The sequence below is a fragment of the Homo sapiens genome, chromosome 1 (assembly GCF_000001405.40).
Source record: "Homo sapiens chromosome 1, GRCh38.p14 Primary Assembly".
Lineage (NCBI taxonomy): Eukaryota > Metazoa > Chordata > Mammalia > Primates > Hominidae > Homo > Homo sapiens.
Genome location: NC_000001.11, coordinates 6,172,934 through 6,200,370, shown reverse-complemented (window position 1 = coordinate 6,200,370; position 27,437 = coordinate 6,172,934). Strand labels below are relative to the sequence as shown.

General features: G+C 51.2%; 2 protein-coding genes across 2 annotated transcripts in view, besides 3 other annotated features; both read left to right on the top strand.

The window, feature by feature from the left end:
* Positions 1-775: 775 nt before the first annotated feature.
* Positions 776-15,351, top strand: RPL22 (ribosomal protein L22). Its single transcript, NM_000983.4, has 4 exons — positions 776-809; positions 2,615-2,719; positions 7,317-7,441; positions 13,555-15,351. The coding sequence occupies exons 1-4, from the start codon at positions 798-800 to the stop codon at positions 13,697-13,699; spliced, it is 387 nt and encodes a 128-aa protein (NP_000974.1). The 5' UTR covers positions 776-797; the 3' UTR covers positions 13,700-15,351.
* Positions 885-1,024: a silencer, noted in NCBI's record as "silent region_138". NCBI's record gives its function as "represses an Ori minimal core promoter by ATAC-STARR-seq in GM12878 lymphoblastoid cells {active_cell/tissue: GM12878}" and the evidence as "EXISTENCE:reporter gene assay evidence [ECO:0000049][PMID:35858748]".
* Positions 15,352-20,049: 4,698 nt separating the features above from the next.
* The window catches only part of CHD5 (chromodomain helicase DNA binding protein 5), a 78,535-nt gene continuing 71,147 nt past the window's right edge, over positions 20,050-27,437 (top strand). Inside the window, exon 1 of the mRNA NM_015557.3 lies at positions 20,050-20,426. Coding sequence (NP_056372.1) covers positions 20,348-20,426 — 79 coding nt within the window. The 5' untranslated portion in view covers positions 20,050-20,347. The remainder of the gene's footprint in view (positions 20,427-27,437) is intronic.
* Positions 20,793-21,292: an enhancer, noted in NCBI's record as "H3K4me1 hESC enhancer chr1:6239139-6239638 (GRCh37/hg19 assembly coordinates)". NCBI's record gives its function as "activates a minimal SCP1, AML or CMV promoter by ChIP-STARR-seq in naive H9 embryonic stem cells {active_cell/tissue: H9 hESC(naive)}" and the evidence as "EXISTENCE:reporter gene assay evidence [ECO:0000049][PMID:30033119]".
* Positions 21,293-21,794: an enhancer, noted in NCBI's record as "H3K4me1 hESC enhancer chr1:6238637-6239138 (GRCh37/hg19 assembly coordinates)". NCBI's record gives its function as "activates a minimal SCP1, AML or CMV promoter by ChIP-STARR-seq in primed H9 embryonic stem cells {active_cell/tissue: H9 hESC(primed)}" and the evidence as "EXISTENCE:reporter gene assay evidence [ECO:0000049][PMID:30033119]".

The window sequence follows — 27,437 nt, the reverse complement described above, 5'->3', positions numbered from 1 at the left end:
AGCCCAGTTCAAGGGACCTGTGGGCCTGGGGATGAGGACCTTTGCTTCTCCACATGCGGTCCATGGACTCGCAGCATCAGCATCGTCTGAGAGCTTGTGAGAAATGCAGAATTTCAGGCCACTGAGACCGCTGGAATTGGAATCTGCATTTTCCAGATCTCCTGGTGGTCCTCAACTACTTACTGGTTTGGGATGGGAAACTAGAAGGCTTGGGCTGGGAAACTAGGGAGTGGTGATCAGCGAGGGGGCGGCCTGGCTACAGCAAAAAGGACAGGCACTGGGAGACAGCCCCTGGGCATGAGCTTCCAAGCTGGGGCTTTTTGAGGAAGCCATAGTGGTCTGGCATTGGGACCTCTGAACGAAATTTCCCGGTGGCTACAAGGAATTTTCCCACTTCCCCAAATTAGTAGATTCGATTTCCATCCCACTAGCTGGTAATTTACAGTATAGTGAATTTCCTTATTTCTTTTTTCTTCCCAAGACTTTCAAAAAGTAAAGCCAACCCCTTTATTTATCTTTGGGCTCGTCCAGTCTGGCTTCCCCCCTCCGATCGTTCGCAGTGGGACAGCCCGCCGGGCCTCCTTCCTTCCCCAGAAACCCTCCAGGCCTGGGAGAGGACGCGTTTTGCATTCAGGAAAAACCAATCGCTCCCCTATCGTACATAACCAAGAGAAAAGGTGGCGGACGAGGGGCGTGGCAAAGTGATTAGTGCGGCCTGGACCCTGCGTGCCTTGCGCGCTGCGGGCTCTTTGCGTCTGCGTAGTTCGCTCACCTCCCTTTCTAACTCCGCTGCCGCCATGGCTCCTGTGGTTAGTATGGCTCCGCGTGAGGCCTCGGCTCCAGGGGAGGCACGTGGGCCTCGCCGAGCCCGGCATCTACCCAGGCTCGCTGGGGACGGCGCCCTGCAGCGTCCTGCTGGGGTGGGCTGGCAGGTCGGCCGGAGCGGGCCAGAGCCCCTGCCGATCCCAGCACGTTGTAGGCGGAGGAGGCCGCGGCCCGAGGCTCGTGAGGGAGATCCGGGAGGTCTCGGAGGCCCGGGGCCCCAGCTAGGGGCTAGCGGGGAGCTGGAGCCTGGAGACTGCGGTCTGGGCCGGCCACTGGTCCTCGGACCCCGGCCGGGGGCCTGATTACCTGGGTGGAGGGCGGGGAAGAAGAACGGGACCTGCTACCCTGGGGAGCCGCGCATTCGGAAGTCCACGGCCAAGACTCGGGGACGAATCCGCGGAAGGGCGGCTTGGTCGGCGTGCTTTCGGAGAGGAGGCCTGGGTTTGAGGAGCTTTTTAGCGTCCCCAGAGGAAATTAGTTTATCAGGGCGCACTGTACAGACCCAAACGGGTGTTGCAGTGGTGTAGGGAGAAGGCTCTCATTGCATTCTCCTTTAGCTATGCTGGGACTGGGCTGTGCGGCGCCCTCCTCCTAGGTTATTTGAGAAAGTTGTTTTTCCGTGTTCTTCGTCCCAAGATCCTACTTTTCCTCTTTTGTTGGGACTCCCTGGTTAACATTTCCGGTTCTTCTGCTCTTTCTGTCTGGTTGGGCTTTTGAATGCCTTTTGGTTTAAAACCTTGATGGAGAAGTATCAAGCCCGTTGTGGGTAGGTCTCTTGATTGATTGTGTGTGTTCGGAATAGATCTTAAAGTACCCCTCTTAGATTATTACTGCGAAGAGACGTTGTAAAAAATAAATCAGTGATTTTTGTAGTGGCCAAATGTTTGAAAAGTTGATCCAGTTAACACAAGTTTTAGATGAAGTTCTTTTAAACATGAAGGGAGGTAAGATGTGTTTTTGGAAAAGTCTATTTAGTTCTGCAGAGCTTTTAAACGTGAAAGTACAGGTTGGTACGATGCACAAGTGCATTAATGGTGTCAAGTTTGTAGAGAGATAAGATTAACACAAGCTTCTTCGTAAGAGTGAAGAAACTGGAACCTTGTAGGATGTGCTTTGCCGGGTGGTTTGGAAGTACTAATGCATAGATGAAGCGAATCAAAATGTCAGAAGTTCTTGACGGTAGTGTTGTAATAAGATTCTAGGTTTTAGCCTTAACCTTGTCCAAGCTGGAGTGGACAGGCACCTAGAATACTTTGCAACTCCCTTCATGAGAAGGTGGATGAGACAGGATTAAGGGAGATGAGCTAAGACGGATCAGGACCCTACTCTGAACATGTAGGACAAGGATTGATTTCATATGAAAATTGTGGGTATGCAAGGCATTTTGTATGCCTGCACTCTAATTTTGGAAAAATAGTATTTTTTTGAAATTGGGAATGTTAGGGCAAACAAAAGGAAGTGTTCATTTTATTGTGGTTCATAAACTAAGAGACCTTCATGCCTGTAGAGATTGGGGAGACTGGAAAGTTTGAGTGAGTCAAGAGTGCTAGAATGATTTCCCCATCAAAAGGGCATGACCCCAGGCCCCAAGCTTGTACAGCAGCATCTGCCCCATTATACCTCTGGCACTCAGGCAGTGATGCCTCTTGGCCCTCTGGCAAAGGGAGCACACTTCCGTTAGTTTTGTATTTGTATGGACTTTTATACCTATGACGTTTCTGGTTCTGTTAATCTTGTTTTTCCGACTGACTGAAACTTCATCTCTGTTATCATTTGTGTATTTTCTTAGAAAAAGCTTGTGGTGAAGGGGGGCAAAAAAAAGAAGCAAGTTCTGAAGTTCACTCTTGATTGCACCCACCCTGTAGAAGATGGAATCATGGATGCTGCCAATTTTGTAAGTTACATCCTTATTGCCACTCGGGTGGTCACGAACATTTTGAGATACTGTTGAGAAAACCTACTGGGGTACATTTCTGTTTTCAGGCTTATAGGCAGCTTCACAGGTCTGGCTGTATCATCTCACCCTGGGAATGTGGGCAGATTACTTGTTTGTTTCCAAGTCTTGTTTCTTCTTGTGTGTGCAACAGTTGTGAGGAGTAAAAGGAGATGGGCTTAGAATAAGCAAGAAGGGCTCTAGCACAGAGGTGTTAGAGGACTATCTTGTTTTTCTCCTTTAGTTTCCACAAATGATTTTACTTAAAAGTTACCCAGAAACAAGCCAGGCACGGTGGCTCACGCCCGTAATCCCAACACTTTAGGAGGCTGAGGCGGGCAGATCATGAGGTCAGGAGTTCGAGACCAGTCTGGCCAACATAGTGAAACCCCGTCTCCACTAAAAATACAAAAAAATTAGCTGGGTGTGGTGGTGTGCACCTGTAATCCCAGCTACTCGGGAGGCTGCAGTAGAAGAATCGCGTGAACACGGGAGGCGGAGGTGGCAGTGAGCAGAGATCGCACCATTGCACTCCATCCTGGGAGATAGTGCGAGACTCCGTCTCAAAAACAAAACAAAAAAAGTTACTGAGAAACAGACAAATTTCACTGGGTCCATGGCATCCCCCTTGCTGTTTGGTGTGTTTAAGCATAAGTGAGGGACCCTGATCCTGACTATGGGCTGCCTCTGTCCTGGGTCTCACTGCTTTGATGTGGAGCTTTGGACAGGTGGCAGCAGTTCCCGAAGCTTTTCTATATTATGAAGCATCTGAGCTTCAGTGTTTAAAGTACCCTGCTTGCTGAATTGTAATTGGAGCTTTTTTTTTTTTCTTCAGATCTTGCTCTGTGCTGATTTTTTGCCCCTGTATTTGGCCCATTCCCCAATATTCCTCTATCCTATTGCAATCTAGAAATATTAAATAATCCTTCCGCCACATTTTGACTCAGCAGTTTGGTTTTGACATTTTATTCTTTTTCCTCTAATAGCCATGTTTGGGGGATTCAGACTTCGTATTTGTGTGTAGAAGTCTCCTAAATTTGCATTTGCTCTAAATTCTCCAGAAGGTTGAACTATTGCCAGGATCAGTATCATTACAACAAAAATAATTTTTAAACACAAAATAATTATGGTCACGAATTATCCAGAATGGAATTTAGGTAACCTCTTATAGTTTATTGCCTTTATGTAGATGCTGTTTGCATCTGTGTCCTTCAAGAAATCCCCTATTTCCTTAGTTCTTTCTCTATCCAGTGACTTCTGGCTTTTCTGTGGCCTCCTCTTTTTCAACTTTGGTGTCTTCCAGTTTGGTATTCACATGGTGGCCCTGTTCTGGCATTATTCCTGCCTCCCTCCCTCTGAGCCATTCCCTCAGCCCACTCATCTGTTTGTGTGATTGTCTTTCCTTCTGGAAGCCTCCTTAGGATAGAAAACTTAAGTCATTTATGAATCTTGAGATGCAGAATTCAAGATTTCTGACCTAATCACTCTGTGCCCCATCTATGGTTAATGTATACTTTTTGTTTATTTTATTTTATTTACTTTGTTTTTTGAGACCAAGTTTTGCTCTTGTTGCCCAGGCTGGAGTGCAATGGTGCAGTCTCGGCTCACCACAATCTCCGTTTCCCTGGTTCAAGCCATTCTGGTGTCTCAGCCTCCCGAGTAGCTGGGATTATAGGCGCCTGCCACCACGCCTGGCTAATTTTTGTATTATTAGTAGAGATGGGGTTCCTCCATGTTGGTCAGGCTGGTCTCGAACCCCTGACTTTAGGTGATCCACCCACCTCGGCCTCCCAAAGTGCTGGGATTACAGGCATGAGCCACTGCGCCTGGCCATTTTATTTTATTTTTATTTATTTATTTTTGAGGTGGAATCTCACTCTGTCACCCAGGCTGGAGTGCAATGGTGTGATCTTGGCTCACTGCAACCTCCACCTTCCAGGTTTAAGTGATTCTCTTTCTCAGCCTCCCGAGTAGCTGAGATTACAGGCGTGTGCCACCATGCCCACCTAATTTGTGTATTTTTGTGGTAGAGACGGCGCTTCACCATGTTGGCCAGGTTGGTCTTGAACTCCTGACCTCAGGTGATTTGCCAGCCTCGGCCTCCCAAAGTATCGGGATTACAAGCATGAACCGCTGTGCCCAGCCAAATTTTTTTTTTTTTTTTTTGAGACGGAGTCTTGCTCTTTGTCACCCAGGCTGGAGTGCAGTGGTGTGATCTCGGCTCACTGCAAGCTCCGCCTCCCATGTTCATGCCATTCTCCTGCCTCAGCCTCCCGAATAGCTGGGACTACAGGTGTCTGTCACTATGCCCGGCTAATTTTTTGTATTTTTAGTAGAGACAGAGTTTCACCGTGTTAGCCAGGATGGTCTCAATCTCCTGCCTTTGTGATCCGCCTGCCTCGGGCTCCCAAAGTGTTGGGATTACAGGCGTGAGCCACCGCGCCTGGCCCCAAATTTTTATTTATTTATTTATTTTGAGACGGAGTCTTGCTCTGTTGCCCAGGCTGGAATGCAGTGGCACGATCTTGGCTCACTGTAAGCTCCGCCTACCGTGTTCATGCCATTCTCCTGCCTCAGCCTCCCAAGTAGCTGGGAAACAGGCGCCCGCCACCACGCCTGGCTAATTTTCTGTATTTTTAGTAGAAACAGGGTTTCACCATGTTAGCCAGGATGGTCTCGATCTCCTGACCTCGTGATCTGCCCACCTCAGTCTCCCAAATTTTTATTTTTTGAGAAAGGGTCTGTTGTCCAGGCTGGAGGGCAGTAGCATGATCCTGGCTCACTGCAGCCTCAACCTCATAGGCCCAAGTGATCCTCCCACCTCAGCCTCTGGAATAGCTGGCACCACAGGCATGCACCACCATACCTAGCTAATTTTTAAATTTTTTTGTAGAGGAAGGGTCTTCCTAAGTTGCCCAGGCTCGTCTTGAACTCCTGGGCTTGAGCAATCTTCCTGCCTTGGCTTCCCAAAGTGCCGGGATTACAGGTGTGAGCTACTGCACCCAGCCAGTTAACATATTTTGTATTGGAGTTTTTAAACAGAAAATTATAGGAATTTTGAGCTGAAAGGGACTTCATGTCATTGCCATAGCAAGAAAACAACTAAAAAGGTCCTTTTTGGGCAAAGCTTTCTGAAGCACAAGGAGGTGAATGTCTTGCTGAGGCCCACACAGTAGTTTGCAGAGAATATCTCAGGCTCCTGAGTGGCTGCTGCTTCTGCTGTACCACACATGGCCCTGGACCAGGTCTAGAATTGTTTCAGTCCCTATGTCTTTGCTCTTTCTACTAGGTTGAAGGCTTATTTTCTGATAGTGCTGTGAACAGTGTTTTATACTCCTTAGATTCAGAAGTTGCTTTTAGCTTTGGTTGCATGTACCTTGTAAAAGTTTGTTTTATTTATTTATTTTTTGAGACAGGGTCTCTCTGTCCCCCAGGCTGGAGTGCAGTGGTGTGATCTCGGCTCACTGCAACCTCCGCCTCCTGGGCTCAAGGGATTCTCCTGTCTCAGCCTCCTGAGTAGCTGGGACTACAGGCACATGCCACCACACCCGGCTAATATTTGTATTTTTTGTAGAGAGAGGGTTTCGCCATGTTGCCTAGCCTGGTCTCAAATTCCTGAGCTCAGGAGATCCACCCACCTCAGCCTCTCAAAGTGCTGGGATTACAGGCGTATCTTGTAAAAGTCTGGCCTTGGGTTTCCTGTCTAGTGTTGTCCTTCTAAGCCTTTCGTGGCGAGGCCCAGTCGGCCTTGTGTGGAAGTAGTCAAGTACGTTTACACTGGGATGTTGTCTCATAGTATGTATGTAAATGGGATTTGTTACCATTTTTAAAAAAGACTGAACATTTAAGAAACCGATATTAGGGCCAGGTATGCTGGCTCACACCTGTAATCCCCACGCTTTGGGAGGCTGAGGTGGGAGGATCACTTGAGCCCAGGAATTTGAGACCAATCTAGCCAACATAGAGAGACCCCTTCTCTTAAAAATGTTAAGCCAGGCGCAGTGGCTCACGCCTGTAATCCCAGCACTTTGGGAGGCAGAGGTGGACGAATCACCTGAAGTCGGGAGTTGGAGACCAGCATGACCAACGTGGAGAAACCCCGTCTCTACTAAAAATACAAAATTAGCTGGGCCTGGTGGCGAATGCCTGTAATCCCAGCTACTTGGGAGGCGGAGCAGGAGAATCACTTGAACCTGGGAGGCGGAGGTTGCAGTGAGCCGAGATCGCGCCATTGCACTCCAGCCTGGGCAACAAGAGCTAAACTCCATCTCAAAAAAAAAAAAAAAAAATTGTAAAGTCAGCTGGGGCCAGGTGGGATGGCTCATGCCCGTAATCCTAGCACTTTGAGAGGCTGAGGTGGGAGGATCACTTGAGTCTGGGAGGTCGAGACTTGAGCTTGGGAGGTTGAGACTGCAGTGAGCTGTGATTGCGCTGGTGAGACTCTGTCTCCAAAACCAAAACAAAAAATGATATTAGTTCAGTGTTGGGAGACAGATAAAATATTCTGTTGAGACAGATGAACTTGTCACTTCATTGGTCAATTTAATGATTTCTACAGGAGCAGTTTTTGCAAGAAAGGATCAAAGTGAACGGAAAAGCTGGGAACCTTGGTGGAGGGGTGGTGACCATCGAAAGGAGCAAGAGCAAGATCACCGTGACATCCGAGGTGCCTTTCTCCAAAAGGTACAGGAGGGAAGTGTGTGTGTGGCCTGCGTGCACCCAGTGCCCAGCCCGCCTTTTCCCTGCATGGGAGTGGGGGCACCCGCAGAGTGATTGGTTTGCATCTGTTAATTTCTGGAACTATGCTCAGTGCAGGAGGCAGTGGATGAATGCTATTATGGTTGTTAACAATAGTCAACTTTTGGTGGTTTTAAAATTTTGTCTTTCACAGGCTAAAGTGTTTTATTTTTTTTTGAGCTGGAGTCTCACTCCATCGCCCAGGCTGTTGTGCAATGGCGCGATCTCGGCTCACTGCAGCCTCCGCCTCCTGGGTTCAAGCAGTTGTCCTGCCTCAGCCTCCTGAGTAGCTGAGACTACAGGCACCTGCCACCATGCCCGGATAATTTTTGTATTTTTAGTAGAAACGGGGGTTTCACCATGTTGGCCAGGCTGCTCTCAAATTCCTCCCCTCAAGTGATCCACCCGCCTTGGCTTCCCAAAGTGCTGGGATTATAGGCCTGAGCCACCATGCCCGGCCAGGCTAAAGTATTTTAAACAGTAAGGTACTCAGACTTGCTTTCAAGACTGTTTTCTCAAAAATATTCTTGGCTGGGCACAGTGGCTTATGCTTGTAATCCCAGCACTTTGGGAGGGTGATACAGGAGTATTGCTTGAGCCCAGGAGTTTGAGACCAGCCTGGGCAACATAGTGAGACCCCCATCTCTACAAGAGTTAAAATTAGCTGGGCATGGTGACATGTGCCTGTAGTCCAGCCACTTGGGGAGCTGAAGTGGGAGGATGGCTTGAGCCCAGCAGGTTAGGGTTGTAATGAGCTGTGATTGTGCCACTGCAGGCCAGCCTGGGTGACACAGTGAGACCCTATCTCAATTAAAAAAAAAAAAATTGCCTCCTGTCTCTAGATCACAGTAAGAGCTTACTTTTTTTTTTTTTTTTTGAAACCGAGTCTTGCTCTGTTGCCCAGGCTGGAGTGCAGTGGCGCCATCTTGGCTCACTGCAACCTCTGCCTCCCAGGTTCAAGCGATTCTCCTGCCTCAGCTTCCCGAGTTTTTGGAATTGCAGGCATGTGCCACCACGCCTGGCTAATTTTTCGTATTTTTAGTAGAGACAGAGTTTTGCCATGTTGGCCAGGCTGGTCTCGAACTCTTAACTTCAGGTGATTCGTCTGCCTCAGCCTCCCAAAGTACAAGGATTATAGGCATGAGCCACTGCGCCTGGCCCACACCCAGCTAATTCTTGTATTTCTTTTTTTTTTTTTTTGGAGACAGAGTCTCGCTTTGTTGCCCAGGCTGGAGTGCAGTGGCGAGATCTCGGCTCACTGCAAGCTCTGCCTCCCGGGTTCACGCCATTCTCCTGCCTCAGCCTCCCGAGTAGCTGGGACTACAGGCGCCTGCCACTGCGCCTGGCTAATTTTTTTTTTTTTTGTATTTTTAGTAGAGACGGGGTTTCACCGTGTTAGCCAGGATGGTCTCGATCTCCTGACCTCGTGATCCGCCCGCCTCGGCCTCCCAGAGTGCTGGGATTACAGGCGTGAGCCACTGCGCCCGGCCTCTTTTTTTTTTTTTTTTTTTTTTTTGAGACGGAGTCTCACTCTGTCACCCAGGCTGGAGTGCAGTGGCGTGATCTTGGCTCACTGCAACCTCCGGCTTCTGGGTTCAAGCGATTCTCCTACCTCAGCCTCCTGAGTAGCTGGGATTACAGGTGTCTGCCACCACTCGTGGCTAATTTTTTTTGTTTTTTAGTAGAGACAGGGTTTCACCATGTTGGCCAGGCTGGTCTCGATCTCCTGACCTCGTAATCCACCCACTTTGGCCTCCCAAAGTGCTGGGATTACAGGCGTGAGCCACCGCGCCCGGCCTAATTATTGTATTTTTAGTAGATACGGGGTTTCGCCGTGTTGGCCAGACTGGTCTTGAACTCCTGACCTCAGGTGATCCACCTGCCTTGGCCTCCCAAAAGTGCTGGGATTACAGGCATGAACCACTGTGTCTGACCAAGAGCTTTCCTTTTGAATTCCAGTTGTTTCCCTTGTAAGTGCTACTTTGGCACTGAACAAGGAATCTGAAGACCTCAGTTTAGACAGAGTCCACTCTAGTTAATTCCTGGGGGCCCATTTTCTTTCATTTCAAAATGGAGACATTAATTTGCTAGTTCCCTCCTCTGTTATGTGTTGGTTTTTGAGGATGAGGTTAAAATACTTTACCAGTTGCTGAAGAATTGGATATGCATATACTCAGCTCCTAGCCTGGGGCTGTGGCCTGTTAGGAGCTTTTAATCATACTAAATCCCAGCACTTTGGGAGGCCGAGGTCAGAGGATCACCTGAGGTCAGGAGTTCTAGACCAGCTGACCAACATGGAGAAACTCCGTTTCTACTAAAAATACAAAATTAGCTGGGTGTGGTGGTGCATGCCTGTAATCCCAGCTACTGGGTAGGCTGAGGCAGGAGAATTGCTTGAACCAGGGAGGCGGAGGTTGCGGTGAGCCAAGATAGCACCATTGCACTCCAGCCTGGGCAACAAGAGCGAAACTCTGTCTCAAAAAAAACAAACAAAAGAAAACCAACATACTAAATCAAGTGGTGGGAAATTTTAAGGTATGTTAGTACAAATTGGTTGTAGTTAATGCTTTTATGTTTAGCTATGTCCGTGAAGAAGAGACTTTGAAGCTTAAGTGAAGTCCTCACAGTCTGCCTGGGAAGCAGTGAGAATGGGGCTTCTGGTGGGGGTACAAAGCGTCCGGCCTGCTGGGCTGTAGCAGAGCCCTTGGGGAAGATTCTGCTACCTTTCTGTGACCTGTTTACCAGGGTGAGGGTATCTCCTGACATGCGTCACTTGCGTTTTCACAAACTTTCTGTTCTTTATCCAGTGGAGTAGGGAAGGTGCCTTAATCATCTATTACAGCTTTCCTTTCTTGATGATAATAGTTAATTTTCCTGAAAGGTTCAAGGTGTCCCGAATCTAGAACTTTTTCTGTCTCTGAATTTGTACAGGGTTTTTATTTATTTATATTTTTGAAAACGAGTTTTGATCTTCTTGTCTAGGCTGGAGTGCAATGGCGCGATTTCAGCTCACTGAAACCTCCGCCTCCCAGGTTCAAGCAATTCTCCTGCCTCAGCCTCCTGAGTAGCTGGGATTACAGGCGCCTGCCACCACGCCCGGTTAATTTTTTGTATTTTTAGTAGAGAGGGGGTTTCATCATGTTGGCCAGGCTGGTCTGGAACTCCTGACCTCAGGTGATCCACCCGCCTCGGCCTCCCAAAGTGCTGGGATTACAGGCATGAGGCACCCTGCCTGGCCTGTACAGGGTTTTTTTTTTTTTTTTAACCTGATTTTTTTCCCCAGTGTACTATTAGGGATTTTTTTTTTTCCTTTTTTTTAGATAGGGTCTTACTCTGTCACCAAGGCTGGAGAGCAGTGGGGTGATCATAGCTCACTCTAGCCTCCATCTCCTGGCTCAAACAGTCCTACCTCAGCCTCCCAAATAGCTGGGACTACACGAGTGCCCCACCATGTCCGGCTATGTCAGGGAACATTTCAACCACCTGAAATTTTGAATTAACCTCATCTGAATACAATATGGTGGAAATAATTGACAAAAGTATACTTTTTAGATGGAATGACCAAATTGATTTATCTTTGCTTAGCAAAAAGTGGACAGTTGAATTGAGATCTTCACACTTTGTGGCGATTGCTTTGTTGGTGTGGAGATTGCTTTGTTGGTGTGGAGATTGCTTTGTTGGTGTGGAGATTGCTTTGTTGGTGTGGAGCACTGTCACAGTGCTCCTTTTTTGGAGATGGTGAGTCTGTTGGTTCATGACATTTGGGTCCTGTGAATATGCCAGGGATCCATGCTGAGCGCGGTGGCTCACGCCTGTAATCCCAGCACTTTGGGAGGCCCAGACGGGTGGATGACCTGAGGTCGGGAGTTCCAGACCAGCCTGACCAACATGGAGAAACCCCGTCTCTTACTAAAAATACAAAATTAGCTGGGCGTGGTGGCACATGCCTGTAATCCCAGCTACTCGGGAGGCTGAGGCAGGAGAATTGCTTGAACCCGGGAGACGGAGGTTGAGGTGAGCCGGAGATCGTGCCATTCCAGCCTGGGCAACAAGAGCGAAACTCCGTCTCAAAAAAAAAAAAAATGCCAGGGATCTCTCTGAGCATCTCATGTAATCCTTGCTATGGTCTGAAGAGATGGTTAGTAGCAGGGATCCCCTTTCACTGTGGGAGAAACAGCTTGGGTAGATGAATTGGCTCTGCTGTGGGTTTGTGTGTTGTGAAATTCCCTCTTTATGGCTTGGGAAGATTCGGAATAGCCTCAGGGCCACGGAAGCAAGCCGGTGAGAGAGCTGCCAAGACTGTGGTGCACTTCATCTTTTTTTTTTTTAATTAAAAAAAAAAATGTTGTGTAGAGACAGGGTCTTGCTATGTTGCCTAGGCTGGTCTCGAACTCCTAGATTCAAGGGATCCTCTCACCTTGGCCTCACAAAGTGTTGGGATTACAGGCGTGAGCCACTGTGCCCAGCCCTTAGGTCATCTTTATGTAGTTAGGGTGTTGGGCACAAAAGCCAGTTTTTGCCTTTCCATAAAGAATGAGTGTTTTGGCTGGTCGCAGTGGCTCACAGCTATAATCCCAGCACTTCGGGAGGCTGAGGTGGGCAGACACTTGAGGCCAGGAGTTCGAGACCAGACTGGCCAATATGGCAAAACCCCCATCTCTACTGAAATTACAAAAATTAGCTGGACATGGTGTTATACACCTGTAATCCCAGCTACATGGGAGACTGAGGCATGAGAATTGCTTGAATCCTGGAGGCAGAGGTTGCAGTGAGCCTGGGCCACAGAAGGAGATTCTGTCTAAAAAAATAAATAAAAGAGTTTTTAAATGATCCCTGTTGTGGTGAGTGTTTAGCTCTCACCTGGCTAAAGCAGCAATTGGGCAGGCTGACTGAAAGGCTTTGTGCTCTCTGGGCGTGAGCGCAGTGGCAGGGTGGCATTCTGTCCCTGTGTGTTGGGTGGTGAGCAGGAGCGAGTGTGTGCACACCCCTAAGAAGCAGTCCTCATCATCCAGACAACCTCAAAAGGGGGTTTGACTCCGTGAGGTGATGTGTGCGCAGCGCTTACAGCTCTTTGGAAACCCACTATTTTCTGCATAAAAGGTATTGAGGTTGCGTACTTAACTGTAAATTTCTATCATGTTATCTTTCTCCAGTGGTCACTAAAAACCATGTTATAGGTGTTTGCTGCATTTTCATGGACAACTGGTACATCTACTTATCTACTTATCTGCTCTTGTTTTTTTTTTTTGTTTTTTTTTTTTTGAGATGGAGTCTTGCTCTGTCGCCCAGGCTGGAGTGCAATGGCGCCATCTCGGCTCACTGCAGCCTCTGCCTCCCGGGTTCAAGCGATTCTCTTACCTCAGCCTCCTGACTAGCTGGGACTACAGGCGCCCAGCACGACGTCTGGCTAATTTTTTGTATTTTTAGTAGAGATAGGGTTGCATCGTGTTAGCCAGGATGGTCTCCGTTTCCTGACCTCATGATCCGCCTGCCTCAGCCCTCCAAAATGCTGGGATTACAGGTGTGAGCCAGTGCCCCTGGCCTAGTTTTTTTTCTTTTTTCTTTTTTTGGAGGCAGTCTTGCTCTGTCACCCAGGCTGGAATACAGTGGTACAATCTTAGCTCACTACACCCTCCGCCTCCTGGATTCAAGGGATCCTCATGCCTCAGCCTCCCGAGTAGCTGGGATTACAGGCGTGCACCACCACGCCCAGCTAATTTTTTTATTTTTAGTAGAGATGGGGTTTCACCATGTTGTTCAGGCTGGTCTCGAACTCCTGACCTCAAGTGATCTGCCTGCCTTGGCCTCCCAAAGCGCTGGGATTACAGGCCTGAGCCACCATGCTGAGGCTATTCTAATTGTTACTGCCGATGTCGATGGTACGTGGCTGATAACTCAGAGCCTTGGCTGGGTGTATTTGCCTTACCTTTGCCATTTTTGAGGCTTGGGAAAACACCTTGAATTGTAATGATTTTGAGTGCTGGGTTTTATAAATGTTAAAATGTTTTAGAATGCAAGCACCAACTGTCTAGTGGAGTTCTTGTGTCCTTTCTCTGCAGGTATTTGAAATATCTCACCAAAAAATATTTGAAGAAGAATAATCTACGTGACTGGTTGCGCGTAGTTGCTAACAGCAAAGAGAGTTACGAATTACGTTACTTCCAGATTAACCAGGACGAAGAAGAGGAGGAAGACGAGGATTAAATTTCATTTATCTGGAAAATTTTGTATGAGTTCTTGAATAAAACTTGGGAACCAAAATGGTGGTTTATCCTTGTATCTCTGCAGTGTGGATTGAACAGAAAATTGGAAATCATAGTCAAAGGGCTTCCCTTGGTTCGCCACTCATTTATTTGTAACTTGACTTCTTTTTTTTTCTGCTTAAAAATTTCAATTCTCGTGGTAATACCAGAGTAGAAGGAGAGGGTGACTTTACCGAACTGACAGCCATTGGGGAGGCAGATGCGGGTGTGGAGGTGTGGGCTGAAGGTAGTGACTGTTTGATTTTAAAAAGTGTGACTGTCAGTTGTATCTGTTGCTTTTCTCAATGATTCAGGGATACAAATGGGCTTCTCTCATTCATTAAAAGAAAACGCGACATCTTTCTAAGATTCTCTGTGGGAAAATGACTGTCAATAAAATGCGGGTTTCTGGGCCATTCGTCTTACTTTCATTTTTTGATTACAAATTTCTCTTGACGCACACAATTATGTCTGCTAATCCTCTTCTTCCTAGAGAGAGAAACTGTGCTCCTTCAGTGTTGCTGCCATAAAGGGGTTTGGGGAATCGATTGTAAAAGTCCCAGGTTCTAAATTAACTAAATGTGTACAGAAATGAACGTGTAAGTAATGTTTCTACAGGTCTTTGCAACAAACTGTCACTTTCGTCTCCAGCAGAGGGAGCTGTAGGAATAGTGCTTCCAGATGTGGTCTCCCGTGTGGGGCCCAGCAATGGGGGCCCCTGATGCCAAGAGCTCTGGAGGTTCTTGAAAGAGGGGACACGAAGGAGGAGTGACTGGGAAGCCTCCCATGCCAAGGAGGTGGGAGGTGCCCTGGAAATAGCTGCCTCATGCCACTTAGGCCATGACTGGATTTAATGTCAGTGGTGTGCCACAGTGCAGAGGCTAGACAACTGAAAGGGGCTACCAAGGCTGGGAAAAAAATGCAATTGTTGCTGTGAGTGACTTTGAAAGACTCTGGTGCCTTGTGGTGCCCTTCTGAAATTCAAACAGTAATGCAAAAGTGTCTGCATTAGAATTTACGGTGTCTAAAATTCATGTTTTTAAAAGAGCTTGCCTACAGATGGTTTCCACACTTGAAATTGTGCCCTGCGAGTTGCATAGCTGGAAGTTCAATGCTCAGTCCTACCTTGGCTCCCATTAAACATTTGGTGCTCTGTGGATTGAGTTGAACGTGTTGAGGCTTTGCAATTTCACTTGTGTTAAAGGCTCTGGCATTTTTCCATTTCTATGCAAATTTCTTTGAAGCAGAATTGCTTGCATATTTCTTCTCTGCCGTCACAGAAAGCAGAGTTTCTTTCAAACTTCACTGAGGCATCAGTTGCTCTTTGGCAATGTCCCTTAACCATGATTATTAACTAAGTTTGTGGCTTGAGTTTACAAATTCTACTTGTTGCATTGATGTTCCCATGTAGTAAGTCATTTTTAGTTTGGTTGTGAAAAAACCCTGGGCTGAAGTTGGCATTTCAGTTAAAAGAAAAAAAGAAACTAGTCCCAGATTTGAAAACTTGTAATAAAATTGAAACTCACTGGTTTTCTATGTCTTTTTGAACTCTTGTAATCGAGTTTTGATCATATTTTCTATTAAAGTGGCTAACACCTGGCTACTCTTACTGTACGAGGCTTTGTTTTTTTTAAGGACTGGCATGTGAAGAAAAGCTTTGTCCTCACGAATTAGTTGCTGTACCAACAGTTACGTTGGTCTTTATTAGGCTTAGAAGAAAAGATGTCCTTTATTTCCACTTTTCTTCCCTTAGTTGTGCTGTTTTGCCGCAGTGAGATTCAGGGGTTGGCTGTCACTGAACTCTGTGTAGAATTTCTCCAGATCCAGAGTCTGGGGATCAACTTTGCCAGCAAATGCCGTTTTCTGATGGGGAATAGGTAGTGTCAACTTGAATTCCATCACAACCATGACACCAGCTGCGCCCAAAGCACACTGTAGACCAGTTTCCTTTGTTTTGACTCACACCTCACTTGCCTGATCGAAAATAGTTGAGGCACAGGGGCTGACTGGGGTCGTGGAGAGTTTCAAGCCGTGATTTAAGTTCATAAGAGTCCGGAAACAGGAGGTTGGTCTCGTCTCAGCCAATGCCAGTTACACAACACCTTCACGCCCTTCCCTCGAGTGTGCTGGTACAGCTGAGGAAATGAGGTTTGTTGATGTCACTAAGTGCTACGAACTAGTCACTTCTAAAGGCTTCATGTTTTCCCTCCAAAAAGCCTCTGATCCCCCTTTTCCCATGGCACTTCCAGTGGTGAAGTGTTTGGGTTTTGAGGACTGTTGTCCTCATACATTTTCAGGAGCAGCCAGGTGTTGAAATACGTGGGTCCTAACTTTGCTCATGAATGGTGTGTAGCACAGAGGTGGTCAGAAACACGGGGAAAGTGAGGAAGTTGGATAATACCAAGTGTCTTAAGACAGTTGATATCTGGGGCTATCTAGAGCTCAGCCTTTTTAGGGGACACTTGATTTCCTGGAGGGTGATAAGGACCCTGGTGATGGGGAATAATGGTCCGGCTGTTGAAGTCATTGATGTCAGGGGAGCCTGGAATTTGGTGTTGACACCTGATTTCACTTTCCATTTGTACATGGGACTCAGACCCTTAAACTTGTCAAGTATTGTAAACCAAGACCTCCCACAGGAGAGGGGGACCTAGGATGTGGGACAGTTACAGATCTGGCAGTTCCAGGGGACAGACCATCTCCCCAGTAACCCTTGGACAGAATACTGGGGTGACGAGTCAGAAGCTGCAGGGTAGGGGCACCACGGCGGTGAGAGATGGGCCAGGTCCCTGAAGGAGAGCCTGGGTTGGCACCTGCCCAGGTTGTTCGCTGAGTCGTGGTGATGGGCCTGTATTTAGTGGAATAAACTGTGGGGTTGATTCTCTTTGAGGGAGAAGAGGGTAGAAGAGAGGCTTGGTGTGGGGATTTGCCATCCCTGCAAGGAGGTAGCCCTCCACCTACAGGAAGGAGGTGAGGACTGCCTGTTAAACGGTGCAATCATAGTGCTTATCTCTAGGAACAGGAAACTGAATTTCTCATCCAGCCATTTTCTTGTCTTTGGGATGGATTTGAGAATACACATTCTTTTTTTTCCCCCAGGCTATTTTGGGCCCAGCTAAAACAGTCTGTAAAGGCTGTGCTGACCAGCGGAGTGAGTTAGCTGCCACCATAGCTAGAACCCAGAGAACACCCATAAAACGTTCTCAGGCTTACACAAGGATTTTCTCAGGTTCAGGGCCATGGCCCAGGGCTGCCTTTTTGAGAAGCTCCTTCCTCCCCTGCAACCCCAACTGATTTGAATTCAGGTGGTGCAGGGTCCACACTTTCGGAAAAAGCCTTCAAGTGCAACGAAAGTCTTGGTGCAGCAGGTGGGCACTGAGCCTTCATTGCAGAGGACACTGCGGTCCTGAGTGACGCCGTTTCACCCCTGCCGAGGAGGAGGTGTGGGGCAGAGTTTTGATCTATGTGACTCGCTGTGAGGTGGTGTATGTACAAGCACTTCATTGCCCTTGAGAAGCTGGTGGTGCCAGGTGGCCACAGCGTGGATATGCATTGTTGAACGAAATGGCCTCAGGCAGGCCTTGGGGGTTCCTGGATGAGGAGTTCATTTAGTCCTGGAATGGAAATTGAGTATGGTATGTGCAGAAGACGATGAGCTTTTTCCACTCTGTTCTTGGAAAAAGTTTTTTTTTTTTCTATTTTTGAGACAGTCTCGCTCTGTCACCCAGGCTGGAGTGCAGTGGCGCAATCTTGGCTCACTGCAACCTCTGCCTCCTGGGTTGAAGCGAATCTCCTGCCTCACTCGCCCGAGCAGCTGGGATTACAGGCGCCCGCCACCATGCCCGGCTAATTTTTGTATTTTTAGTAGAGATGGGGTTTCTCCATGTTGGCCAGGCTGGTCTCGAACTCCTGACCTCAGGTGATCCATGACTGCCCGCCTCGGCATCCCAAAGTTCTGGGATTACAAGTGTGAGCCACTGCACCCAGCCGAAAAAAGTTTTTTCCTTGATGCTTTTGTAACCGGTATATTAAAAAATATTTTGATTTTGGAATTGTCACTGAGGTGTAATTATGAGCTCTATGATCAGCAAACATGAGAATCTTGTCTCCTAAAACAGTAACCTTAATGATAGGCTTGTTCTTGCAACGCAGAGTTGCAAGTTTCAGGGATTGCTTTTAACGTCATGCATTTTTGGTCCGTTGTCATTAAAATACCCATTTAATAGTTTAACAATAATAAGGGCTCACCTTTAAAAATGACTGGAGAGCCGGGCATGGTGGCTCACGCCTGTAATCCCAGCACTTTGGGAGGCCGAGGCAGGCGGATCACGAGGTCAGGAGATTGAGATCATCCTGGCCAACAGGGTGAAACTCTGTCTCTACCAAAATACAAAAAATTAGCCAGGTGTGGTGGTGCGCGCCTGTAGTCCCAGCTGCTACTGGGGAGGCTGAGGCAGGGGAATCGCTTGAACCCGGGAGGCGGAGATTTGCAGTGAGCTGAGATTGCGCCACTGCACCCCAGCCTGACGACAGACACCATCTCAACTCCCCCCCTTGAAAAAAAAAACCCAAAAAACCTGGAGATTTGTAGTAAAAAAATCCATTTGTTTCTAGCATTCCAGTTTTTGTTTCATTTTGCTTTTGGACATTAAATAATATTACCTAGTTGCAGTCATCGGGAAGAACAGGATGGGGAGAGGATTATGACTGATGAGCATCTCGGCTCTAATTTGTTGCCAGATTAAGCAGTTAGAACTGTTCTTTCTTGAACGATATCTTGACTTTCAGCCTCGCCTTGGGAATTGGAGCCAGGGTTAATGATGGGGGCGGCTTTCTGGTGATGAGAAGTATTGTAAATCAGAGTTTTTCTACCGAAGGGCAGGGGACCTTTGAAAGGGATTAGAGAGGTGTTGGGGGGCTGGTAACTGAGGGGTGGGCGTGTCAGCTTAGGGCTTTCTTCCCTTGTTGGTCACCATTCATGGAGGCAGTTGGTCTGGAAAGAACGAGGAAGAGGCAGGTTTGGTTCAAGCCTCGGTGATCTGGGGCTCCCCCTGGCTAGCTGCTCTGTGGGGAAACACGGCCTTGGGAGGGGAGGCCCTTTGGTTTCCTGGCCTGCTTCCCTGAAGAGTGTTCCTTTCCCCTTGCAGGCGGCCAGCACTGGGCTGACCCGGCTTCTCTATCTACAGCGTAGTTAAAGCGGATCTGGGAGATGGAGGGGTTCCCAACACCCCAGTCTTTGGTTCCAGAAGGCTGGACCGACCTCTCCTTGCCCAGGGATGAATGCAGAGGGTCTTTTGTTTGGGGTTTGCTGGCAATAAAATTGAACGGGAAGAAGGGAAACTGCTGCCGATCCTGCGTGTCTCAGGTGGGTTCCCCCAGTGCCCCTGCGAGGCAGTGAGAGGGGGCCCTCCCTTCACGGGCCTTCTGGGGTTAGAGAGCTGGCGGTCGGCCAGCCCCTGGAACTTTTGCGTTCTTAAGGTAGCTTTAAGACTTGCCGCCGCGGAGACTGGAGGCGCTCATTTAAAATTCCAGTCTTGCTCCCGAGGGCTTTGGCCTCCATCTTCACCTTTAACGACCGAGGGCTGGTGGCGGCGGCTCCTTCCTGCTCTGCGACAGGTGTCGCTTCTGAGCGGGAGTTTTGGGCACAGACATCGCAGATCCGCACCACCCCTAGGGGTCTGCATGGGTTTCAGCTGCACCCAGCCTGGAGGGGCTTTTTGGAAGGGGGCACGTGGGCGGTGGGAGCGGGGAAGCAGGTGAGGGGAGCCCGCCTGCGCGGATTTTTCTGCTGTAAATCAGACCCACAGTCTCCAGAGCGTCTTTTCCCCAAGTGTGGAACACATTTTTCTTCTAATCCTCTTTGGAGAGGGGGTTAGGAACGTGCCGAGGCCGGAGCCGGGAGCGGGGTGGGTCCCGGCGCCTGTGAACCGAGTGGGGGAGCGGGCCGCGCGCTGCCCTGAAGACCCTGCCTCCGCGCCCTTGGGGGCTCGGGGCCCAGCGCCTTCGCAGGCGAGCGGCGGCGGCTGGCTCTGCCCGGGGTGCGCGGGGGCGGTGTTTCCTCGCCTCCCCCTGCGCCCGGGCTCGCCAAGCCCCGACTGCCCGCTCGGCCGTCGGGTCCGCGGGCGCGCGGACGCCTCGACGGCTCCCCCTGCCGGGGCGCCCCCCGGTCCCCACCCTCACCCGGCGGCTCAGGACTAGTCCCCCAACTTGTTCTCTGCTGTTAACTAGTCGCGCTGCCGGAACGATGGGATGGGGTTGCCACAGCAACCAGACTGGACGTCACAATCCGGGCATGTGTGCCGCCCCCCCGCCGTGCCGCCGTGCCTCTGGCGCTGCCGCCGCCACCCTCGGCCGGCTGCGGGACTCGGGCTGCGGGGCGCGGTGGGAGGAGCGCCCGGGCTTTGCGGGGAGCAGGCTAAGGCGGCCGAGAGAAAGGGGGGTCGAGACGGGGGGGTGGAGGTTTGGGGGGGTGGGGGGGCAGGCGGCCGCCATCTTCTCGCCGAGGCCGCCTCGCCCGCCGCGCGCGCCGGTCCGGCAGCGCACGGGTTAAGGCTGGCACCGCGCCCGGCGGGAGGGGGGGCGCCCACCTCCCCTCCTCCCCGCGCCGGGCATGCGGGGCCCAGTGGGCACCGAGGAGGAGCTGCCGCGGCTGTTCGCCGAGGAGATGGAGAATGAGGACGAGATGTCAGGTGAGCGGGGCGCGGGTGCGCCTGGGGCCAGAGCGGCGGGGGCGCCGAGACGGGCCGGGCCCAGGGCGGAGCGCGGGCGGCGGGGGCGGCGCGGCCGGGCTGGCGCCTCGCAGGAGGGGCACCCGGGTTGCGGGGCTGCGCTCCCGCCCTGCTGGCGCCGCGCGGCCAAGGGCGAAGGCTGGGTGAGCGCCCGGGCCGGCGTGAGGGCGGCTAAGGGCGGGGTGCGATCCGGGCCCCCCGGGCGGCGACGCGGGCCAGGCGGGCCAGAGGACCGCGGGCCGGGGCCTGCGCTGGGGGGCGCGGCGCTGTCAGGGTCAGCCCGCGTGCCCTTGAAGGGGGCGGGAATCGCGCTAGCTCCCGGAGCGGCGCACCCCGCGCTCGCGTCCCGCCGCCGTGCGCCTCTGGCCTCGCTGCGGGCAGGCGGGACCCGGCCCCTGGCCCATGTCGGCCGCGGGGCGGGCTGGGTGGGGCCCAGAGAGGGGCGAGGACCGGCGGTGCTTGGGGACGCGTTGAGCGCCCAGGATGGGGCGGCTTCCCTCCCGGCCCAGGAGGACTCCGCTCTGGGACGCACGGGCTCGGACCCCTGCTCCTCTTTCCTGGCCTCTGTGCGCTGTGACCGCCGCTCCCAAGCACTTTACCCGGGCCGCCGGCGTCCTTCTGGCGCGACCTAGCGCCCGCCGCTGTCTCCAGCCTCACCATCGCCCAGGGTGGTGGCCGTTCCCAGCCCACCCTGCCTTGGCTACGGGCCTGACGCCCCAGGGCCACCGCCCCTGCCCCTACCATCTCTCTCCTTTTATCTCTCTCAGAATTTAGTATACACAGGGCTGTGCGCCAGGGGTTGCCTTGCGGGACAGTTCTTTAGTTAACTGCTCACCATTTGTTTGGGACGTTTTCCCTCCTGGCACAGCTGGGTAGGGCCCCACCCTGTCAGCCACCCTCCCTCCTTTCTGGGAGACTCTTACTTCTCGGCTTCCCTGCGCCAAGTCTGTGGCCTCTCTGGACTTCGGAGAGACTTGTGGGAGGCTGGAGGCCCTCCCGGGCCCAGGAACGTGCATCTGGCCCCTTCTGACTTCCAGGGGTGAGAAGACTCCACAAATGGACACCTCCAGCTCCTGTTGGAGGAAGCAGCCAGCGTCTTCTGGGGAGGGTATTCCCACCAGGTGGCCACACCCCCTGCCCCCTTCTGTTTGCTTGCTTGGTTAGTTGGTGGCTTTAATGCTGTCACTGAGCTCCTACAGGAGCCCGGCACTCACCTCGCCTGTTAGACAGGCCAAGTTGGCAGCGAGCGTGCTGGGGACGGGGAATAGGGGAGTCCTCTCTTGGGGTGGAGTTGCCTGGACAATAGTTGACTGTCATATCCTGGGTCCTTGGAATTAGACCCATTCTCCGGAGGGGAACTCTGAGGCCCCGCACAGGCACAAAAAAAAATCAGTGGCCATTTTCCACCTAGGAGGCTGGCTCCCCAGTAAGCCAGTTTACTGGTTTTCTCAGCAAGTTGTTTGTTATGGTGTTTGGGGTGTGGCCCTTTTGTGGGATCAGTGGCATTTCTGGGGTTGCACCGACCCGCTGGTGGAGTCCCCTGGCTGTCTTTCCCATCTTACACTCCGGCTCTCTCTGACTATGTGGGGACTTAGAGGTTGGGGAGGGGAAGAGGCCAGGGAAGGTGCCCCCAGTCTAGTAGGCACCCGACTCACTGCTTGGGCCAGAGAGGCGGGGCTCTGGTCATCCTGCCCACCACCCGTGCTCCCCCTCGGTGGGTTGGCCCCAGAGCCTCCAGGAGTGCCCCCAGAGCCCTGCAGAAGAGACGCCCTGCTCTGGCACCTCTGGCCTGGGGATTCTGTCCCCATCCATCAGCAAGGCCAGCTGCTCCACCTCCAGAGCCTTTCCAGGCTCCTGGCTTCTCTCCATGTTCTGGGTCCAAGCCTCTGTCCCCTCCTGCCGGTCCCCTCCAGGGCCTTCTACCCACTCCTTCTGACCACCCACTGCACAGCAGCTGGGGTCACCTCGTGAACCCAAGTCAGATCCCGACCCGCATGGCTCCAGTCGCCTCTGAAACCCTTGTCCCGGGTCCACTCCTGTACCCCTTTGTTCACAGCAGCCACGCTGGCCTCCTTGCTGCTTCTGGAACACTCCACGCTCCACGCTCCATCCTGCCATGGGGCCCTGGCTGTGACCTCTGCCTGACCTGCTCTTTCCTCTGCTCACCGCTGCCTCCTGGTCATTTAGGTCCCAGCTCGAATGTTATGATGGGGAGGGACACCCTTGCTAAGGGCCTTCCAGTCACTCTGAGACACATTGTCATGCTTTCTTTGGAAGAGATGGGGTCTTGCTGTGTTGCCCAAGCTGGATTTGAACTCCTGTGCTCAAGCGATCCTCCTGCCTCAACCTCCCTAGTAGCTGGGACTACATGCTTGTGTCACCACACCTCACATACTCGAAACGTTGTCATCAGTTTCCTCCTGGATCTGTGGGTTCCCCTTCGAATGTAACTCTCGATAACCTGCCATGCCCAGCACCTGAAACCATGCGTTCCTGAGAGATGGTTGTGGTTTCAGTGTCTGAGGGCTGGGACTCTCTAGGTCACCCCAGCTTCTGGCTGTGAAGACAGCCCTAGCCAGGCCTCCTGTCAAGTCGCACTGCTGGCCCCCCACTCACCCTGAGCTCTTCCTCATAGCCCCTATGCAGCCCTGAGTCCAAGCTCAGTGGCGGTGACCCCCAAAGACCAGAACCAGCTGGTTCCAAAAGATGGAAGTTTGTGGCTGGAGGAGCTAGTGTTTTGGAAGCTGTCATGATGATTTTTCAGTCTACGGCTATTAAACTCATGACTTGTCCGATCTTTTTTCTTTGACTCTGCTCATCTCCCACCTCCCCCTGGGAGTTGCTCACTCTCAGCAGTGAATTATTGTTTCCCGTGCAGTGATGGTGGGGAGGGGGAGGTTTGCCCTGGCCAGCTCTGGCATTGAGGCAGGTGTCTGAGCCAGCTTCTAGGAGGAAGGCAGGGCGGGTGCCTCTTCTGGTTGGGGGACCAGCAGTTGCCAGATTCTCCTGGGAGTTGGGGTGGCTGGTTGAAGCCAGGGGTCAAGAGCTGGTGGGATGAGGCCTTGGCTTCTAGCTCTGAGCATTAGCTGAGTGGTCTTGGACAAGCCAGGCAGCCCTCTCCTCGGTGTGCCCACTTGTAGTATGGGGACATAGCACTGGCTACCTCATAGAGGGTTATTATGAGGAACAGTGAGACAGTGCATGTGGAACATTAGGCCACAGTGCCCAGCACATGATAGGTGCTCAATAAACTGTGGCTGGTGTAGTTAGCACCAGCCAAGGAGGGCAGCTGTCCTGCCTTCTCCAAGGAAATGCTTCTGATACTTGCATCCTTAGCCAGTAAGCTCAGGGGAGTAGGAGCCTGGGTGGGAGGAGGGCTGTGAAGCCCAAGGTAGGGGTGGCAGGAAGCAGGAGAGGGCTTCAGAAAATGTGGCTCTCAGCCCTCTTAGGGCCACTGCTGGGCTGGCAAATTCCCTGCCTCATTGGCCCAGCTTTTCCTCAATCACAGACAAAGCTAGTGAGCCCAGAATGGGCAATGTCTGGACTAGGCACCGTTACCTCTCTGGCCCCAGTGACAATTGGCCCTAGATGTGTAAGTATCTTAGGCTTGCTTCCTCAGGTCCAGGGGCCAGGAGAGAGTGACAGTCATGATTCCCAAAAGGCCATGACATTTTAGCCTGCACCCCTACCCCTGTGGAAGCATGGTTTGGTAGGGGGGTCCCAGGGAGCCTGATTGTATTTAACATTCTTTTCTGGGAGGAGGGAGACAAAATGACCAGCACACTTTGCCCAGTGGCTTGGCCAGTGGGTTATTCATTGTCATTCCAAGTTGATCAGGTAATAGGATCCATCTATCATTTTATCAGTTCATTCAGTCGCTCACCCATCATCCATCCATCCATCTACCTACCCACCCACATCTACCCATCCACCTACAAAACCAACCAAGTAACCGTTCACCATCCGCCTATCAATCCATATCCATACCATATCCATCCATCCATCTGTTCTTCCTATCCACTATTCATCCATGCACTATTCGTCCATGCTTCCCACCATCCATCCATCCATCCATGCATCCATGTATCCATGTATCTACCTGCTCTCCCACATCTACCCGTCGACCCACAAAACCAACCAAGTAACCATTCACCATCCACCTATCTATCCATATGTATATCCATCCGTCCGTCCGTCCATCCATCCATCCATCCATCCATCCATTTGTTCTTGTTCTTCTTATCCACTATTCATCCATGCACTATCTGTCCATGCTTCCCACCATTCATTCATCCATCCTCCAATCCATCCATCCACCATTCATTCATCTGTCCATCCACCATCCACCCATCCACCATCCATCCATCTGCCCATCCACCATCCATCCATCTGCCCATCCACCATTCATGCTTCCATCCATTCATCCACCACCCACCATCCATCCATTCCTGTACCCACCATTCATCCATCTATCCACCCGTCATCCATCCATTCATCTATCCACCATCCATCCATGCATCCATCCACCATCCATCCATGCATCCATCCACCATCCACTCATCCATTCATCCACCATCCATTCATCCATCCACCATCCATTCATTCATCCATCCACCATCCATCCATGCATCCATCCATCCATCCACCCACCATCCATCCATCAATCCACAATCCAACCACGCATCCAACCACCATCCACTCATCCATTCATCCACCACTCATTCATCCACCCACCATCCGCCCACCATCCATCCATCTGCCATCCATCCATCCACCTATTGTCCATCTATTCATCAATCCACCATCCATCCATGCATCCATCCACCATCCACTCATCCATTCATCCACCATTCATCCACCCACCATCCATCCATCATCCATCCATTATCCATTCAGCCATCCATCTGCCATCCATCCATCCATCCATCCATCCTTCATCCACCATCCATCCATCCACCCACCCACCATCCATCCTTCATCCACCATCCATCCATCCACCCACCCACCATCTATCCATCCATCTATCCATTCATCTTTCATCCATCCATCCGTCATTCATCCATTCATCCATTTATCCATCCGTCCATCCTCCATCTTCCATCCACCATTCATCCATCCACCCACCATCTATCCATCAATTCATCATCCATCCATCAATTCACCATCTATCCACTTATTCACCATCCATCCACCATCCATTCATCCATCCACCCATCCACCATCCATCCTTCCACCCACCGTCTATCCATCAATTCATCATCCATCCATCTATTCACCATCTATCCACCATCCATTCGTCCATCCACCCATCCACCATCCATCCACTATCCACCCATCCACCATCCGTCCAGTGTCCATCCATCTGCCATCCATCCATCCATCCATCCATCCACCCACCATCCATCCATCTATCCATCCATCTACCCACCATCTATCCATCAATTCATCATCCATCAATCTATTCACCATCCATCCACCATGCATTCATCCATCCACCTATCCACCATCCATCCATTCACTATACAATTATCCGTCCACCCATCAGAGACTTCTGGAATATCTTCTCTGAGCTGGGTACTGAACACAATGTGTGTTGTCTAACTTTCTGGGCTTTTGCTTATCTCTGTGGCTCTGTCCTTATTTCACTCTCCTTCCCTGTCTCTCTCTCTCCCTCTGTCCCCATATCTGTCAGTTTTCGTCTCCCCTGAGGTCATGCCCCTGCCTCTCCCTTTCTGTCTGGCCGTTTTTCTCTCTTTTGTCCCTCCCTGTCCCCCCAGGTTGACTTCCCCTCTCACCATTCTGTCCTCCTCCTCCCCACCCATGCCCTGGGCCTCTCCCTGCTTTCCCTGCACCCCCAGGGTGACTCCCCCCAGGCCCCAGTCACTTGGGGTAAATGCCTCATCTATCCCCGTCTCTTCCCTCCACTCCCCACTCAGGACTGATGCTTTCTTTTGATGTGACACCAATGAGGTGATGTCTGGGTTTTGTTAAATGTCATAAATAAATTATGAATCCTCTCTTGGGCGGTGTACTGCCCCCCTTTGCCAGCATAAGCCCTGTCTCATGGGGGGAGGTTCGAGGACTAACGGCAGCCTGAGAACTCCTTGGCCAGCGTCTAGGGTGGCCCTGAGAACCTCTGGCCCAGCAGTGGCCAAACTAGAGACCGCTGCCCTCTGCCCTTCACCACTGCCGCCCTGACCCTCCTGGGTCTCGCTGGGCTCTGCCTGCCATTGCTGAGCCCCTGCAGGCATCGTGTGGGTCCTTTGCATTCACAGTTTTTACTTCTCCCCATAGCCCTGGGGGAAAGGCTGCCACATTAGGCCCATTTCACAGATGAAGAGAGAGGCTCAGTGGGGAGGGGACTTGCTGGTATCACCTCCAGGAGGGGTAGCTTGAAGCCTCTGCTGCCCCTGTTGCTCCCTCCTCCTGACCTCCTGGTGGCCTTGTTCTCTGCTTGTTGCTGGTTGGGGAGTCCAGGTGGGGAACAGAAATAGCCCCTCTCGGCCGGGCGCGGTGGCTCATGCCTGTAATCCCAGCACTTTGGGAGGCCGAGGCGGGTGGATCACGAGGTCAGGAGATCGAGACCATCCTGGCTAACATGGTGAAACCCTGGCTCTACTAAAAATACAAAAAATTAGCCGGGTGTGGTGGCGGACACCTGTAGTCCCAGCTACTTGGGAGGCTGAGGCAGGAGAATGGCGTGAACCTGGGAGGCGGAGCTTGCAGTGAGCCGAGATCGCGCCACTGCACTCCAGCCTGGGTGACAGAGCGAGAGTCCGTCTAAAAAAAAAAAAAAAGAAATAACGCCTCTCCCCAGGTCCTGGAGAGAGTGGTGGACATTGAGTGGGGTCCCTGTCCTTGGCAGGTTTGCCGGCCTTTGCAACCTGGTGATGGTGTTCTCGTCCCAGCTCCTGGCTTGGCCCCTGCAAATCCTTCAACCACCCAGAATCAGATGACCTAACTTTCGCTCCA

Bases quoted from the DNA above. Each gene is read 5' to 3' on its own strand.
- RPL22 (NM_000983.4), top strand. The intron at 2,720-7,316 runs GTAAGTTACATC...TGATTTCTACAG, and splicing joins TCATGGATGCTGCCAATTTT to GAGCAGTTTTTGCAAGAAAG. The intron at 7,442-13,554 runs GTACAGGAGGGA...CTTTCTCTGCAG, and splicing joins GAGGTGCCTTTCTCCAAAAG to GTATTTGAAATATCTCACCA.